The sequence below is a fragment of the Homo sapiens genome, chromosome 16 (genome assembly GCF_000001405.40).
Source record: "Homo sapiens chromosome 16, GRCh38.p14 Primary Assembly".
NCBI lineage: Eukaryota > Metazoa > Chordata > Mammalia > Primates > Hominidae > Homo > Homo sapiens.
Window position 1 is genome coordinate 54,200,448 of NC_000016.10, and position 18,274 is coordinate 54,218,721.

Genomic DNA, 18,274 nt, shown 5'->3' on the forward strand with positions numbered 1-18,274 from the left:
TACCTTGACTGATTGGCTAAGCTTGACTCGCTGCCCAACTTCTTGGCCAGGAGAGACAGCGTTCAAACAATTGGAGGATCTCATTGGCTAAGCTTGACTCACTGCCCTACTCATTGGCCAGGAGAGACAGTATTCAAACAATTAGAGAATCTCATTGGCTAAGCTTGACTCACTGCCCTACATTGGCAGAGCACTTGATTGGTAAAAGGAAAGGGGTTGGGGGGAGCCAGATGGTGAGGAGGTGCTTGCTGGCAGCAAAAGAGACAATGTGTATGTTGTTCTGGTGCCAAGATTCCAGGCTTTGGGTTCCTGCTTCATCATGTTGGTGCCTTGAGTTTTCCCCTAAACTCTCTCCTTCTCTTTTCTCCCTCCTCCCGTGTGTGCTCCCACTCTGCCTTGAGAATCCATGTTGTGGAGAGTTTGACTGCACAGGCCTTGGAGACCAACAGCTCTGCAGTCACATCCTGGCTCTGGGAGTGGTGAGCTCAGTGCAGATCCCTTAGCTGAGCCCCACCTACAAAGTCCATTGCCTTGTATGGCTGTTGGGAGGTTGAAATAAGATCATGGGTACAACATGCTTAGTTCACTGCCCAGCACAAGGTGAGGGCTCCATAAATGTAGGTATAGCAGCAGCTGTTCCTACTGACCCATTTCCCTCCTTAGGGCTTGGAGAGATACTTTCTAGTCATTTGATAGGGCATAAGTAGATACAGAGTAAAGTGGGATTCTTAGGAAAATCATCTTTCTTGACCTCGTTGATGACCCTTGTCGTGGCCAGTTATTGTTTGTCCATCCCTCCTGCCTCCCCACTCCATTTATGGTAAGAACAATGAATGGCCTTTCCACAGTCCTCCTGTTGGTAGGGCTGTCAATCAAGTGCTCTGCCAATGGGCGGGGCAGGGAGTTAAGCTTAGCCAATGGGATTCTCCTATTGTTTGAATGCTGTCTCTTTTGGCCAGTGGGTGGGACCGTGAGTTAATCTTAGCCAGTGAGATTCTTCTATTGTTTGAACCTTTCTCTCTTGGCCAATGGGTGGGGCAGTGAGTCAAGCTTAGCCAATGAGATTCTCCTATTCTTTGAACCTCTCTCTCCTGGCCAGTGGGTGGGGCAGTGAGTCAAGCTCAGCCAATGAGATTCTCTATTGTTTGAGCCTCTGTCTCCTGGCCAATGGGTGGGTACCTGATAAGAGCTCAGCCATTATGATCCACTGTCTCAGCCAGGCGCTGTGGCACATGCCTGTAATCCGAGCACTTTGGGAGACCAAGGCAGGCAGATTGCCTGAGGTCAGGAGTTTGAGCCCAGCCTGGCCAACATGGTGAAACCCCGTCTCTACTAAAAATACAAAAATTAGCCAGGCATGGTGGTGGGCACCTATAATCCCAGCTACTCGGGAGGCTAAGGCAGGAGAATCACTTGAACCTAGGAGGTGGAGGTTGCAGTGAGCCGAGATCGTGCCACTGCACTCCAGCCTGGGCAACAGAGCAAGGCTCTATCTCATAAAAAAAAAAAAAAAAAAAATTCACTGTCTCAAGATGAAAAATGAATGGTTGGAGCTTGGTTCCAATCTTAGCAGACTTTGTACAGGCTCTTGCTCCCCAGGTCCCTCACACCTGCCCTTTTTGAGCCTAGCACTTTGGCTGATTCTGAGAGCTACCCCACACCTTTCAAGAGAGGTCCCCTCTGTGCCTAGGCCAGCCAGGGTTGGTTTCTGTTGCTTGTCTCCAAAAAGCCCTGACAGGCCCAGCCTGTCTCCCTCAGGTGTTAAAAAAGGGCGGTGGAACCAAGGGCGAGGGAGCACTCCTTGGGTTATCCATGATGAAGAGAGGAAAAACAATCCCCTGACTTTCTCTCCCTCCCCTCAGTCACCCTCTTCTCTCTCATCCTACAGTGATGGGCTGACCCACAGGAAGTCATCATGGGAAGGGGGTCAGGAACGTTGTGTGAGCAACCTCAGACCCCTGAAAAGCTCTTCTAAGAGGGTCCTTAGCTTTGCCCTCTTAACGAATCCCCAATCCGTTACTCAAGCCCTGGTGCTAAGATTCATCTTGGATCTCCTCCTGCCTTCACTTATATTTTGTTATTGTTCTGTTCTCTGTCTTACCTCCCAGTAGCTATTTCCCAAGATTCACTGAATTCAGACATTGGCAACTTCCTGGCAGGAGCTGCCTCTGGTAGGAGGAGGGAAGCTGCCACGGCCAAGCAGACTTGCTGCGACTTTCCTCTTCTCCCAAAGTTCTCCCAAACCCTCAGGGGCAAGCAGAGTGTATGTAGGTGGGCGGGGCCTCCCACTCCTTTTCCCTTTGGTCTCTGAAGGCTTCCAGATCCTCATGGCACCCAGATCTACTTGGGTCAGCTGCACTAGCCCTGACCCTGGGTCAGAGTGAGGCTTGGGGGCGAGAGGGGGCTGGTCTCCCTTCTGATTGCCTATTGACCCCTGAATCATTAGCTGCTTGGAATCAAATGTTCCTGACCGGCCGGCTCTGGTGGGCACACAGCCATGAGATCAGTCAGGCCTGCCTGATATATCTGTGGCCCAGCTCATTCAAAATCAATGCCATGATCCTCTCAAATGGAGGCTCCCTGGGAGGATGCATTGATTTCTGGGCCACAAAGAATCACGTGCCTCCAAACTGCAATGCTGAAATTCCCATTGTCTTTTTGGCTCCTGCTGGGGGCCAGATGCAATATTTCTCCCCACTTCTTTGGGGAGTGCTCCACTGTTTTTAGAATACGGTTCTGGCTAACACTAGACCACCCCATGAAGGAGAGGGAGAAGGCCATGACTCTGTCATCCCCTGCTAATCTTAGCACCAGGGCTTGAGTAACAGATTGGGGATTCATTAAGAGGGCAAATCTAAGGACCCTCTTAGAATGGGACATGGGACAGGCTGGGCTCCTAAACATCCTCCAACCCTATTTCAGAATTGCTATTATAATGTTTTTTCTCCTTCTCTCTGTTGTAAAAAGCATTTTCAAGTCACCAAACCCAAATCAAGTAGCAAGGAAGGAAATATTTTGGCTTGGGTAACTTGGAATTCTGGCTTTAGGAGCAGCTACATTCAGGAGCTAACACAATGTTGTTCGTCAATGGGTGGGGCAGCGAGTCAATCTTAGCCAATGAGATGCTCCTATTGTTTAGACCTCTCTCTACTGGCCAATGGGCGGGCACCTGATCAGAGTTCAGCCATTAAGATCTGCTGACCCCTGTCTCTCTCTCAGCCTCTCAGCTCTGCTCTCTGTTGCTTGGTGCCATTCTTATAGTAGCAAGATGGTGGCCAGCTGCCCCAGGCTGATCTGTACCCTCAGGTTTAAGTTCAGTGAAGAGAATGTCTCTTCCCTGATCATGCTAATGATAATCCTGGAACAGACTCTGTTTTTCTCTGATTTGCCACGATTTGGACTCGTACCCATCCTTAAATCAACTATAATATCTGGAAAGATGTGATGCTCAGATTGGTCAGACCAAAGTCATATGATTGTTGAGAGTTAGCACCACCCAAACCATGTGGACCGAGTGTGTGGGGGGTGGTTCCTTAAAGCAACACCTGTTGCTTTTCCAGAAAAATGGGATGGGTGCCGGGCAGGCAGAGATGTCTGCTGCACACCTTAACTCCAAAGCCTAGCTGTGGGGCAGAGGGGGTTCCCAGCGCTTTCTGATACCATTAGCGCTAGAAGAACCTCATTCAACTCTTCAGGGGACAGGTGGAGCCCCACTGACAAGGAGCAGTGGCTGTATCTGAGTCCAGCTGGGCTGTGCGCTTTCCTTTTTCCTCATCTGACTCTGTCCTGGCCTCACCTTGCAAGCAGCCAATAATGACAGTTTCTCTCATGCCTGGGGTCGGGGGGTGGCCATTGGTCAAAGAGTGCTCGGGGCGCTTGGCAGAAAATGGAAAATGCCTTTGATCTGGTGGGAAGAGTCGAGCATTTAGCATCAAGTTACAGCCAAGGGCTTTGAAGTTAGGCTAGTCCTGAGTTCAGATCTCACCTCTGCCACTTCCGTGGGCAAGTGTTGTAGCTTCTCTGTGGCTCAACATTCTCACGTGCAAGGGGGTAATGATGGTGATAATGATGGATAACACAGAATATGCTGTGTGCCTTCAATACTGTGTGTGTGTGTGACCTTATTGAAACTTCATAGTAATCCTATGATATAAGGTACTGTTATTTGCATTTTACAGATAAGTTACAGGAATTTGAGGCCCAGGAAGTCTAAGTCACTTGCCCAAGGCCACACAGCTTGAAAGTGGCAGAGCTGAGATTTGAAACCAGGCAGTCTAGCTCTAGAATTCAAGCTCCTACTACTAAACTATACCCACCTGACCAGCCTAGTGTGCAGAATAAATGAGGCACCATACGCAAACAGCTTATCATGGTGCCTGGTGTTTGAAAGTGCTCAGGGGATGACTGCAGTCCCTCCCTCTCTCTGCTGACCTGCAACCTCACAGGCAGGGCTGGCCATCACGCGCCAAGTCCACGTGAGCTGGATTTGCTGCATTGTAGGGTTTCCATGGCAGGCTGGGCAGAGCGGGCAGCACACTGCCCTGCAGCTCCCAGCTCCTGGCCACACACACCAAAGACTCATTGTTGGAAGCTCCTGTTTGCCCATCTCACCCATCACCAAGCAACAGGGGTGCTGGGGGGAGGCTGAATAAGTGAACGGAAAATGGAAATGGCTTTGGAAACAAAGAGCCGACTTGAGAGAGGTGTTTATCTACAGGATCTTGTGATTTATAGGTACCTGACAGGGTGGGGATAGTTGGCTGTCCGCAGCTCTAGTGGGGAGTTAGCATCAGGCAGGTTATGGAGGCCTCAGGAGGCAATGTCAGGGGTCCGGAAGCTGATGACTGCCCCACCGGCTTGCAGTGGCTGCAACCGTAATGGGGCTGAAGACCATGAAGCCGGTCTTTAAGCACATTCAGATCATGAACTCTCAAAAGGGACAGTCCGATTTCTGAGACCATCTTCTATGACCTGGGGAGGCTCTGAGCTGGAGAGAGACCCTTTTAAGCCCCCACTCTCTTTTTCCAAGGTGACCCTGGCCTTGAATGGAAGCTCTGTCTCCTTCTACCCATGATGGAAGGTGGTTATTAACAAAAGTGGGACTCACTGCTGATTACCTTCCCCACCCCATTAATTTTCATTTTTCCTGAATCCTTTGAGGCAGGCTGTGGGCCGAGGCAGTGGGGACTAGATTGTGCACGTTACACTGAAATGCACCGTGGTGACTTGCTTCTGATTTCTAAGTTAGAACATCTTACCCTTTGGCCAGGGATTTTTCTGCTCAGTGTTCTGGCCACAAACCCACCCTCATTTCTCATCAGCTAATTTTCCTCTTTCCTCCATATAACCAGAGCCCTTAGCTCCAGCCCCTCTGACAGGGGCATTGAGAAACCACAGGTTAGAGTACCTTCTCAAACCTGGCAGAGAGAGCTCAGCCATGGGAGAAACCAGCACAGCCCCCAGTCTGAACAGCAGCTGCCTTCTCCTTTGGGCAGTTTGCTCTGGGGGACTGAGCAGCAGGGTGTCTCCTGGAATAATATTTCAGCAGGTAAAGTTGTATCCATGGAAATTCTCAGCACTCACATCGCATCGGAGAGCATTTACTGACTTCAGGTCCCTGGGTCCAGTCTTCAGAGGCTAGTTTCCATTATTCCAGACTCTAGAATCTAGAATATGGTCCAGGTATTGGGTATCTTCTAGAAGTATCTCAGATGATTCTAATATGCAGCCAGGGTTGAGAACTCTTTGTCCGTAGCCTCTTCTCCTTTAAGTGGGTGAATGCATGACTTAAATCATTTAATCATTAAATCATTAAAAGCATCCAGGGAAGCTTTTAATACTGTACCTGGACATCACAAAGGAATAAATCCCTAATGGTGAAATACAGGGAAAGTCAAAGTGGTATATTGGACAGAGTGGTGATGGTTTGCTTATCTCTTGAGTGGCATAAGTTCCCCTGCAACTCACGAGGCAAGCCCTCGTTGCCATAATTTGCGTTCCTGCCTGTCTTTAGAAGGCATGTGCCCTGATAGGGAGGGATTAGACTGTGTTTTTTCCTTTTCTTCACTGGGAAGAGTTCTCAGGTACATGGACAGACAGTCCCCTTGAATTAGTTGAGAGTAGCCTTCACCCTATCTTTCCAAAAGATGCCTAGAATAGAGTCTAGAAAAGAAAAAATTAAGCCAGAGTTGGGTAGTCAGCATGGGGGAAGGAGGAGGACAGTGGGTCTGTGAGGGTAGTTGAGGGAACTGCCCCAGCCTGGGGATCATGGAGCCACATTCCAATTCTGAAGAAGCCAAGTGCTCAGATGGCTGGGTGGACACATGGGAACTTGAGCATCTCTTGATAGGCCTAAGATGGGTGCTTCTCCTGCTTTGCTCTCTTCTGCATGGAGGCTGAGAAAAGATCTCTGATCCTGTTTTGAGCCCCTCATCTTTGAGGCCTTATTCTCAATATCTGGTGGCTGTGAATCTTTGCTTCTGTTTCCTGAGCTTGTTGAGGGCACTCTTTCACGCGTTCTCTCTCTTCTCCCCGCCCCCCGACCTGTGATTGGAAATCAGGACCATGCCTCACCTCCTGGGGCCTGCAGAGGGTCTGCATTGAGCTGCGAGGAAGATTTAGGGACCTGGGCATGCCTGGATTTCAGGGGATAGTCCTTGGGCTGATGGGCCCCAGAAGACATACTTGCTCCTTTGTCCTTTCAGCAAGCTGGGTGCTAGAGAATGTCCAGAAGCAAGAAGACATGGTCCCCATGCTTATGACCCTGTGGTCCAGTTTCTTTCCCCATGGGGGCTCTTCCCAGTTCCTCGGGTACCCTTGGTTCCCGTTGGGGTGTTCTCACTGTGATTCCCTCCGCTGGAACACTTTTTCCTCTGCCTTTCTCTTGGCTGAGATTCTTTCATTCCCTTCTTGCTTTGACACAGCCCCACCTGGGGACCCGCCCTGAAGGCTCTGGCTAAGCACCGACCCCCTCCTGACCTGGTGCCTCAGTTTCCTTTGTCTCTGTACCCTGCATGCCTCCTTCATGACACACATTCCATTTGTTATCTATTTACTTGTGTGTTTCCTTCTCTCGGGTCTCTTTCCCCCACTAGACTGGAAGCTCCAAGACGGCAGGACCCACATCTGACCCATACCCCATTGTGTCCTTAGTATCTAACACAGGGCCCACATAAAACAGACCCTTGGGAGATAATTATGATATTAAATAAACAGACGAATAGTTAGAATCACTCAAGAAAAATTCAAAGATTAAAATACTGTAATGCTGAAAGATTGAGAATTTGTAGCTGTGGGGAAGCCGAAGAGTTCTGCTTACACGGGGGCACCAAATATCACAAATCAATGCTAACAGGAGAAAATAACAGAAATCTAGTGTGTGTGTGTGTGTGTGTGCGCGCGCACGCGCGCGCGCGCGTAAGTGTGTGAGTGTGAATGTGTGTGTGTGTCTTCCTTTATACTGAGCAGTATGTTGGGTCATTATTTTACAAATACCATGAAAACGACCTTCGTTTAAGTGTTAATTATCCCCATTTTAGAGATGGAGAAGTTGAGGCTCAGAATGGTTAAGTAACTTGACCCAGGTCACATGACTAGTAAGTGGGAGCGTTACCTGGGTAGTCCTGGAGAAATAGCTGAGACAGCAGAACAGCTGCAAGAGCTCATTATTTTCTTAAGCAGAAGATAGCTGAGAAAGCTTAATATTGTTTGAGAAACAGTTTCTTTTAGCGTCTTTATCTCTGGATGTGCTAGCTTACAAGGACTGCAGATGGCCCGGGAACCTCAGGACCCCTTGCCAATTATCAGAGGAAGATAAGTCCTGCTCAAAACCAGAGCTAACAGGAACCAGTGACCCCTCATTACCTTTAGATCATTAACATATCATCATAATCCAAAAATCCCCGCCCATAGAAGAAAATCGCTGTTGTTTTCTGAACATGAATCATAAGAAGGGACATGCTAATGATCTGTGCCAGCACATCTAAAGTTCTTTCTTGCACAAACTTACAAACCTCCCCGCCCCATATCTAACGCCTTAAAATCCTCCAGCTTCCTGCGGTGTGGGGAGGAGGAGGTGTCTTGGGAGCAAGAGCTCACTCTCTTTCTCTGGCCAAAGAGTAAATCTTGCTTGCCTTTCCCTGCCACCAACTGGGTGTTCTTTCTTTCTGGCTGATACAAAAGTAGGGAAAGAAAGGAGTCTACCAGTGACAGAAGGGCTGTGATTTGAATTCTGCTTGTTCTCTGATTCCGGAGTCCATGCTCTTAACTGTCATACAATTTAGAAATCAAACACAGAATAACTGATGCTAGAGAAGTGGCTCTCATCCATTGGGGCCATTTTTGGTTGTTTTGTTATCAGCAGTGGGGACCAGAGATGCCACGTGTGCAGGATGGCCAAAGAGAGCTGAGGATGCCAGAGAGGCTCGCACGCACTGGGGCAGTGGGCAGTAGACTCTCTATGCAGTGATGACTATGTAAGTAAAGGCAGTGTAAGGGCTATACACTACCGTGGAAGCTTTGGGGCCAGGCCTTCTGTAATAGACCAGACACCTTGGTGGTGCAAGTGATATAGGAGGCTGCATAGGTCTCAAGTTCGCCTCCAAAGAGCATCAGATTGAAGCCAGCAGAATAGAGGTGCGAGCAGGCCGAGCAGGACAGAGCAGAAGCGCAGGCCTGGAGGTGAGTGTTCAATACCACCGACATCTCTGCTCAGGGTCGAGGTGCACAGCTCGGGGGTTCCGTAGTAGGACTGACAGTCCAGTGGATAGAGTCAGGACCTAGACAGAGCAGATGGGTGCCCAGCCACAGAGCATCCGTCTTGGAGCTCATTCATTCATTCATTCACCACATACTTCTTGAGCATGTACTGCATGCCTTGCGCTGCTCTAGATGTGTGGGTAGAGCGCTGAGCAAGGGAGATGCTCCCTGCCCTCATGGAGCCAACGTTCTGGTGGGAAGGGGACAATAGCATGAACACAAATGAGATCATGCTATGAAGAAATAAGTCACGGTGATGTGGTAGAGAAGGACTGGGGTGAGATGGAGAGAGAGGCTGGGAAGCAACTTTGGTGGGAAGTCAGGAAAGGATTCTCTGGCGAGGTGACATTTGAGCTAAGGCAGGCATAAGATAAGATATCTTTAGCTATAGTTATAAATATAGATAGAGATAGAGATATACTTAGTCAGCAGTGCAACCGTACATGGGGCTCACAAAGAGCAGTCCAGGCAGAGGAACAGACTTGGTAAACTCCCTGAGGTTAAAATAAGCTTGGCGTGCAGGGAACAAAAAGAACACCCTCTCTAGAGCACATGTGGGTGTGAGAACAGCCTAGGGGACCACGTCCTGCAGAGGCTTGCAATTCCAAGTTCAACGGGAGGGTTTTAAACACAGGTGTAAGAAGACCTGATTTATCACTCGTTTTCTTTTTTTGTAGAGACAGGGGTCTCACTATGTTGCCCAGGTTGGTCTTGAACTCTTGGGCTCAAGTAATCCTCCCACCTGGGCCTCCCAAAGTGCTGAGATTACAGGCGTAAGCCACCGTGTCCAGCCTGATTTATAATTTTTAAAAATCACTCGGGGCTGGGCATGGTGGCTCACACCTGTAATCCCAGCACTTTGGGAGGCTGAGGCGGGTGGATCACTTGAGGTCAAGAGTTCGAGACCAGCCTGGCCAATATGGTGAAAACCCCACCTCTATTAAAAATACAAAAATTAGCTGAGCGTGGTGGCACATGCCTGTAGTCCCAGCTACTCATGAGGCTGAGGCACAAGAATCGCTTGAAACTGGGAGGTGGAGGTTGCAGTGAGCTGCTATCGCAGCATTGTGCTCTAGCCTGAATGACAGAGTAAGACTCCGTCTCAAAAAAAAAAAAAAAAAAATCACTTGATTGCCTTGTGGAGAATGGACTGAGGTGGGTGAAAGTAGAAGCAGGGAGACTGACCAGGAGGCTCTCGGGAGGATCTCCCGCATGTCCAGGCTGAGTGCTGCTGGCTTGGTGCGGCAGTGGTCTTCAGAAGTGAGCCAATTCAGGATGCGTTATTGGTGGAGCTGCTGGCTGTTCTGGGATCCTTCACCTCTAGGGAGGCTCTTATTAGCAGGAGCAACTCCAAAAGGGTCCCTAAAGGTAACAGCCTCCCCTTCCATGCCAGCCTCCCTGCAGGCCCTGGCAGCATCCGGAGTTAGCAGCGCCGCCTTTGTCTTCGGTCTGCTCTGGTGTTAGTGATTAAATCGATCTGCACATAATTGATGTTGCTTCTCGCCAACCTGCAAACTGGACCCATATCACTGAGGCTGCGCTGCTCCCCACAGCACGACTGCTCAACAGAATCCTCCCGCTTTCTCTCTCCCAGACCAAGAGGGGGGAAAATACAGCACCCTGTAACAACAACAAAACTCTTGGCCCCTATAATTTTTATGATTTCGAAAGAGTGTCAGCCAGGGTTTCAAGACAGCACATGTTCCCAGAACATAGCCCTGGCTTTCAGATGGTGCAGGCGTTATCTTATTCAAATCACAAACAAATAAATCATCACTCCTCACCATCTCCAGTTAGTCGCAATGGAAATTAGAAGAGCTTGCATATTCACTGTAGTCAGGTTCTGTCAAATTAGAAATGCTTATGATAATCGCGACGCAGCATAGATGCAAAGTTGTGGCATGTTAAATAACCAATTATGAGGTTTTTAAAGGAGAAGCTTGTTTAGTTCTGAGAGAGAGATTCTCGCCAGTGGAACTTGCTTTTGCCTTTGCATAATATGGATGTAATTTAAAGTATCCCTGGGTGCTCTCCTTGTGCTATTTATTTGAGGTATTTATACAAGAATAAACTCTATCGAGATGAGGCAGCGTAGCTTGAGGAGGGCTCCGATAAAGCCAGAGTGATATTGATTACAATTGCAGAAGATTGTGGTGTCAGGTCACCTTCCCACCATTGATTGTTGATTGCTCTGTAACGCACGCCCCCTCCCTGCTGCTAGTCACAGACACATTAATTGTGGGGACAAATTTAATCATTGCTCACTTGGAGTACTGTTGCAATTCCAAGCCATTTTTCACACACAGTAAACTTGTGGTCAGGATGTAGAAAGAGAATTGTGAGAGCAGCATGCTACTGCAGAGAGACACAACAGATTTCCATCCTTTAATGAATAGAGTTGGAAGGATAGTTAATTCTCTCTGATTAAGCTATGGCTGTGTCTGAGTGTTGGGCTAGGCAGAAAAATGCAAGATTGACTCTTTTTCACTGCTAGGAAAATTCTCCTGTCTTTGTCAAGTTCAGCTGCCTTCTACCCTCTGGGTGATGATAGCAGAAAATAAGACAGCCTTGCAGGTGATCTACCTGCTTCCTTGACCATGATTATTAACAGCAGGAGCCAGGCCAGCAATTACCACTGTGGTCACTGTTAATTTGTTGGGGAAAACACACACACACACACACACACACACACACACACACACAAACACTTTTGGACTGCAAAGATTTTAATCTTGCCAATATAGATAGCTAACTGAATTCTTAACTAACTTTGCAATGTAGGATTTAAATCCTGACCAGTCCAAGTTTTCTTAGTGTAATGAAAACAGCACCAACATCATGTTGTAAGCAGTCATTCATTTTTGTATAAGTATTTTGGTGCTAGGTCCTGGAAATTTAGGAGTGAACAAGATGTTTAAGATCCCTGCCTTCACAGAGTTTATGTTCTAGAAAGAGGAGTGGTTTTCAAGTTTTAGCCTGTTTCAGAATTACCTGCAGGGCTTGTTAAACACCCCAGTTTCTCAGGTACAATCCTTGAGTTTCTGATTCAATAGGTCTATAGTAGGATCAGGACTTTGAGTTTCTAACACGTTTCTAGTTGCTACTGATGCTGCTGGCCCAGGGAACCCCACTTTGAGAACAACCACTCTAGTTTGGACAGTGGATTTCAAGTCTGGTTGCACATTAGAATCCCCTTTGGAAAGCTTTTGAAAAATACCAATTTCTGAAGGCATTTACTTGGTCTGAGCTGGGGTCTGGGCATTGGTGTCTTTTTCAAAAGAGCACCTCAGGTGGTTCTATTGAGCAACTGGGTTCAAGAGCACATTTCTTAATCTAAAAATAAGGAATAGAGGACGGAGGGATTTAACATAGGAGCTAAGAGTATGACAGCTGTCGTTCGGCACTCCAGTTCCATTCCTAGCCCTGGCAATTTTCTTGTTCTTCCTGCACCTCCATGTCCTCATCTATAACAGAAAGAATGTCCAATTCATAAACTATTGTAAGGATCAAGTGCAGTAATATATATATCTGGCATAGAGCAAGCCCTCCGTACGTGCTAGCTTTTAGTATTATTTTTAGAGTGGTGCACACAGCAGGGCTTTGCCAATTTCAATTTAATTGCTTGGTATATTTCCAGCTAAATATACCTGTTAAGGTACCAGCAGAGGTTTTTCTCTATTTGTCTTTCTTAGACCTGCCATTTGCCCTGATGAGGAATCCTGCCTGGAGGAATCCCTGCCACCTTCCTTCTCTTTCATTATTCAAACACCATATATAATCAGGTCAGCAGCCTTCTCCAACAGCCCTAACTTCTTCGCAAAAGTGCCTTGTTTGCAGCTGTGGAAACATTCGTCATCCAGTGTAACTAAGCAAAACACCCCGCCCTGGGACGTATCTGATACACACGCTGGCGGTGCAGTGCCAGGAGTGAAAATGGTACCCGAGAATAATTCCCTAAATGAGCCACGGGCACGTAGTGAAAGCCATTGGATGCCAGAGGACCCATTTTCAAAACTGTGACTGGCAGTGAAGTTCACTCCTCTCTCCATAGCTTTCTCATGACCCGCTGTGGTTTGTGCTGTGTGAGATTTTAAAAAGTCATTCATTTGGGGGTTGTTAGGGAGTGGGGGTGAGAGTAGCTGGGTATTGGGATTGACAGGACCCTGGGGAAAGGGGCTGTGTGTCTGTGCCCATGAGGGTGGCATGCAAGACAAGGCAGCAACCCTGGCTGGTGCGGGAAGGTGATTTGGGGCAAGTTCAGGGTTCAAGAGGGAGGGGCAGGGAAGAGAATGTGCTCTCTTGAATTAGCCTCATTGGATCTCACATAAGCTAAATATATACATGGCAACAGCCCGGACCAGGAATCCAGGAGAGTCTGGGGGTGGGGAAGGCAAGGAAGTTCTTACAAAGACCAGTTGCCCAGAAGCTCTCATAACACAGATCAACTTGCCTTTGCCTCTGGTTAGCTCGGGGACAGGACACCCTCCTGGTGGGTTATCCACTCGTTTAGCCTAGTGGTGGAGAATGCCGGCTCCAGGGTCAGAAATGACTCTGGGCTTGAGTCACTGCCTCCTCTGGATAGGTTGTGTGCCCTTGGGTAAGCGCTTTACCTAGTTAAGTTTGTTTCATTTGTAAAATGGGTACACTGTAATAATTGGACAGGGTTGTCACAAGGAGTCAGTAAGATTATGTCTGTAAAGTACTTCATGTCCTGCCTGGTGCTTAGTAACTACTATGCTTCATCCAATCTGCAACAATTTATTTGTTGAGTATAGCTCAACAAATATGTGCCTATCCCTGCTCTGGGAATTGGACACACAGTTGTGAACAAAGGCAGGCAAGACTTCTGCCTCAAAAAACTTACATTCTGGTACGGAGAAGCTGCATAAACAACAACATAAATAAATAAGGGAAAAAGATAGCACTAAATGCTCTGCTGATCATCACAATCGGGTGCTGTCAAAGGGAATGATGAGGCCCACTTTCCATTGGGTGGCAAGATAAGGTTTCTAAGGGGAGGGGACATGGAAGCTGAGCTTCACATCATAAAGAGGCGGCCATGCAAGTAACTGGAGCAATGGCATTCTAGGCAGGGGGACCACAGTGTGGAAAGGCTGGAGTCTGGAGTGTGGAGGGACAGAAGGGGGCCAGAGTAGCTGCCACAGAGGGACCTAGGGGAAGAGTGGAGGGATGTGACATGATGGGAAGAGGCAGGAACCTGCTGGTGTAGGGCCCCGTGGGCTCTGGGATGGGCGTTGGATGCTCTTTTGAGTGCAGTGGGAAGCCATGGGAGAGTTTGAACAGGGAACAAAGGAGAGAGTGACTTGGTTTGATTTCTATTTTTTTAATTCAAGTTTTAATTTTGGGTAGTTTTAGATTCACATGCAGTTGTGAAGAATAATACAGAGAGATTTTTGTACCCCTTACCCAGTTTCCCCCAATGGAAATATCTTGCAACTAAGTATAACAACTATACTTGCAATTATAGTATAACATTGGGACTAAGATATTGACATTGATACAGTTGAGACCCAGAACATTTCTATCACAACCAGCATCCCTCATGTTGTCTCTTATTCCCACACCTGATTCCCTTCTCCCTTCCTCCTCCCTAACCTCTGACAATGAATCTGTTCTCTATTTTTATAGTGTTATCATTTAAAAATTATTTATTTATTTTTATTTCAATAGGTTTTTAGTTTTATCATTTTAAGATGATCCCTGAGGCTACTGTGGGACAATGAATGGCAGGGGGCGGGAGTGGAACACGGACTCCAGGGAGAGGGATCCTGCTACCTTCAGAGTAAGGACCTGCTGGCAGCTTGGGCTGCCCCTGTTGACTTCTCCTTCCAGCCCACCCTCACTTAAGGTGAGAAGCAGAGAGCAAAGCACCCCGTTCAATCTCCCCACCATGGGAGTCCTTCTCACTGTGCCTCCTCCTGCTTCAGTGAAGCCAGCTGAGATACAGCTGGAGGGAAGACCCTCCTGTTCACAGGTGCTCAAAGCCCCCGCTTTCCTTCAGGGAAGCAGGACCCCAGCCTTGAACTGCCCAGCCTGGAAAGCAGCTTCCTGAACAAGCAGGTTTGCCTGGGGATGGTGCTGGGGCCAGTTTCCAGGGGTTTTCTGGATCACTTCTGCTCTTGGAAGCAAGCACATCGCCAACATGTGTAGGAAACATGCACGCTTTGCCCGATGCCCAGACCCCTGGCCAACTGTTAGGAAGTTGCTAGGAATGTTTCTCCCATCTTGCTAGGTCCATCTGCTTTGGATACTAGAGGAGCTCAAGCCCAAATGTCTGACTGGCTCTGTCCTCAGCCCTCTGGCTCTCCTGCCGGCTAAGGTCTCTTTGAAGACCAGATCATGGGCCTTTGGGATAGACAGGATTTAGGAAGACATGAGGAGGAATGTGGCCATTGGGAAAGCGTCTCTTGTCCAAGCCGGGTGGCACAAAATTCCCTTGGCAGGTTGTCAGGCTTGGGTTTATCAAACCAGGCTTCTGGGAGCTCCCACTCCCTGGCCTGGCTCATGTAACCAGAGAATTTGATCTTCCATTAAAATAAATTTCTGCTCCTCATCTGGTCTCCTACATGAGCGCCCCCTCCTGCAGCTTGAAAAATATCCCTCCCCACTCTGTGCTTTTTTGAGCCAATCTTTGTATTTCTTCAATTTTTATAGCTGACCATTTTGTACGTGAACTAAGTACTAAACAAGCATTATTATCGCTTTGTGCACAGTGCACCAGAGGCATAAATCCCACATTAACCTCATCCTAAAGAGCGGCTGAATGCATTTTAATAAATGTCCCAAATGGTTTCAATGTCTAGTAGCCAAACGAAATAAAAAATGCACACACATTATAGGATGTTATGAACCTTTCTATCAAAAGTAATAATAAACAGACTGCTTGTTGGGCTGGGCGATTGGGTTACATTTTTAAACAGTATATTGAGAGACAAATCAAAGTAGAGCTGAGATGATTATGTGATATGATCCAGGGAGGCCCAGCAATTTCCAGGGGTTTGCTGTGAGCAGGTAGACATCTCTCTTGCCTCTTGATACGATTTCATTCTAAGCCCTCATTCTACATGGTGCCGAGAGAAACGAGCAAATTAAGAAATCTTTGCTGCACTCAGATATTTAATATAAGCAGCCAGATAAAGGCAGAGATGCACGTCATTTGTCAGCTGAATAAAAATTCAGATGAGGTATTTTCCTGACGCTGTGCCAGGCACCATTAGGAAAGCATTTTATTTTCATGTGTTAGTGACGGCATGCTGCTGAGGCCAAACTTCATCAGCCTACAAGGTGTTACTTGAAGTCAAGCACAGCATGGCCTCCTATTTTGGACAGCACGTCCGGAAGACTGCCACCGGCATGGCTTTTCCTCCCCTAGATGGGATTTCCACTCTGAGAGTTTCAGAAGTTAATTAGCCATTTCAGTTATCAACCCGGAGTAGATAAAAAATAAAAAATAAAAATAAAAAAAATACCATGCCAGTGGCCTTTTTGGATGTGCAGATGTTTTGGTTTGGGCACATCTGTAGGCAATCACTCTGTGTTCTGGGCAGGCACGGTGTTTTATTATGGGATTATATGTGTAATCTTGGATAAATAGTAGAAATTGGAGTTCAGTTGGAAGACTTGTTTTCTCTCCCAGAGAGCAGTGTAAATAGCAAACCAGAAACCATTTGCTCATTATTGAAGCAATAATCTAACTTGCCAGCCTTTTCCCTTATGGCTGGACATCCGAGGTCAGTGTAAAACTCTTGGCAAGTGAGAGGCTGTGGGGTGTCAAGCCAGGAACAGGGGCCAATGACTGGGGCTTCTGCTGGGTTCTAGCAACAGCCGTTGACGCAGTTGCCCACCCTGCCACCCCTCATTGTGGTGGAAGCGGTTGCTGGTATTTGGTACCTGGCCACCAGGGAATCCGGACTGTGACTCAGTACCTCTTTGCATTGGTGGAGGGCAGCTGTCTCCCCAGGCCCGGCCAAATGTCTTCCCCACCAAGTGTGAGGAATGCTGAAAAGTGGAGGTAGCGTGGAGGCAGCCCGGGGTAATACTGATACTTTACCCCAATTCTGGTAATACATATAATGATGTTACTCAGTTTTGTTTTTCATTTCCAAAACAGATGTACCAAATCCCTGTAAACTGATCTACAGTAATGCACTTAATTTTAATCTTCAACGTTAAAAGTAAAAACTGATCACTTAAAGCAGAAACATGTGTCACTTCACCCTCAGTTGGCAGAGGATGCAGCCTACCCCCTGTGCCTACAGCCTACCCCCTGCGCCACTGAAGGCTCTGGCTCTGCTGCTGGCCTTCTCTTGATTTTGTCCTCCTTATGACTTCTGCCCCTTCTCCTCCACCTTCAGGCTCTTCTCTCTAGGAGTCTCTCAGCCACCCAGTGTCCTCTCTGATGCCCATTACTTGCCTTGGATATTTCCCAGTACTGCTTAGCTTGTGGCTTTGGGCTACAATGAGTGAACTCTGCAAAGCATATATCCAGTGTGGTTTGGAAAGTTAGAAAGACATGTCATCGTAGTGCTGGATTGTGGAGAGCCATTGTACGAGGCTCCCTGACCAAGACATTGGCTAAATATTAAACCAAACGGTGTGATAATGACCACACATCTTTATTCATAAATAAGGACTGGGGTACAACTTCTGAATTTTTATTTCTAGAACATGCATTGTAGCTTTTTTTTTTTTTTGAGATGAAGTCTTACTCTGTCACTCAGGCTGAAGTGCAATGGCATGATCTCGGCTCGTTGCCACCTCAGCCTCCTGGGTTCAAGTGATTCTGTCTCAGCCTCCAAAGTAACTGGGATTACAGGTGTCTGCCACCACACCTGGCTAATTTTTTGTATTTTTAGTAGAGACAGGGTTTCACCATTTTGGCCAGACTGGTCTCGAACTCCTGACCTCAGGTGATCCGCCCACCTCGGCCTCCCAAAGTGCTGGGATTACAGGCGTGAGCTACCATGCCCAGCCGCATTGTAGCTTTTTGATAATGAGGTCAGTGCTACTCAGAGGCTCAACATTGGTGGCAATTAAGAAAGTCAGCCTGGACACAATGAGGGTTTTGTTGGGGTATAAAAATAGAGGCAAACACTAGTGATATATCACAGCGGCTTGAAATGGTAAGATGCAGGGTAATCATTTTTCTTCTGGTGTAGACCTCAGACCTCCAGACTTTGCTCATTATCTGCTGAGAGTGCCACACGGTGCCAGGTTTTTTTCTGAATAGCCCCTGGTGGCAGTCACTGAATGGCATGGAATTGCTGAAACTTTCATTCTTTGACCTTGAGGTTAGGAAGACTCAAAGGCAGATGGACATCTTTTGCACTAGAGTTGGTTGGGGGGTGGGGTGGATGGAACAGACTGCCGTTGACCCTTGGGGTTGACCTCTTGGGAACAGGTGCCTGGAGACATCCCTGTAGGTGAATAAGCCCAGGCAGTAGGAAGGGCTTATTAACATGGACAAGACCAAATGTGGAGATCAGAGACAGCAGGT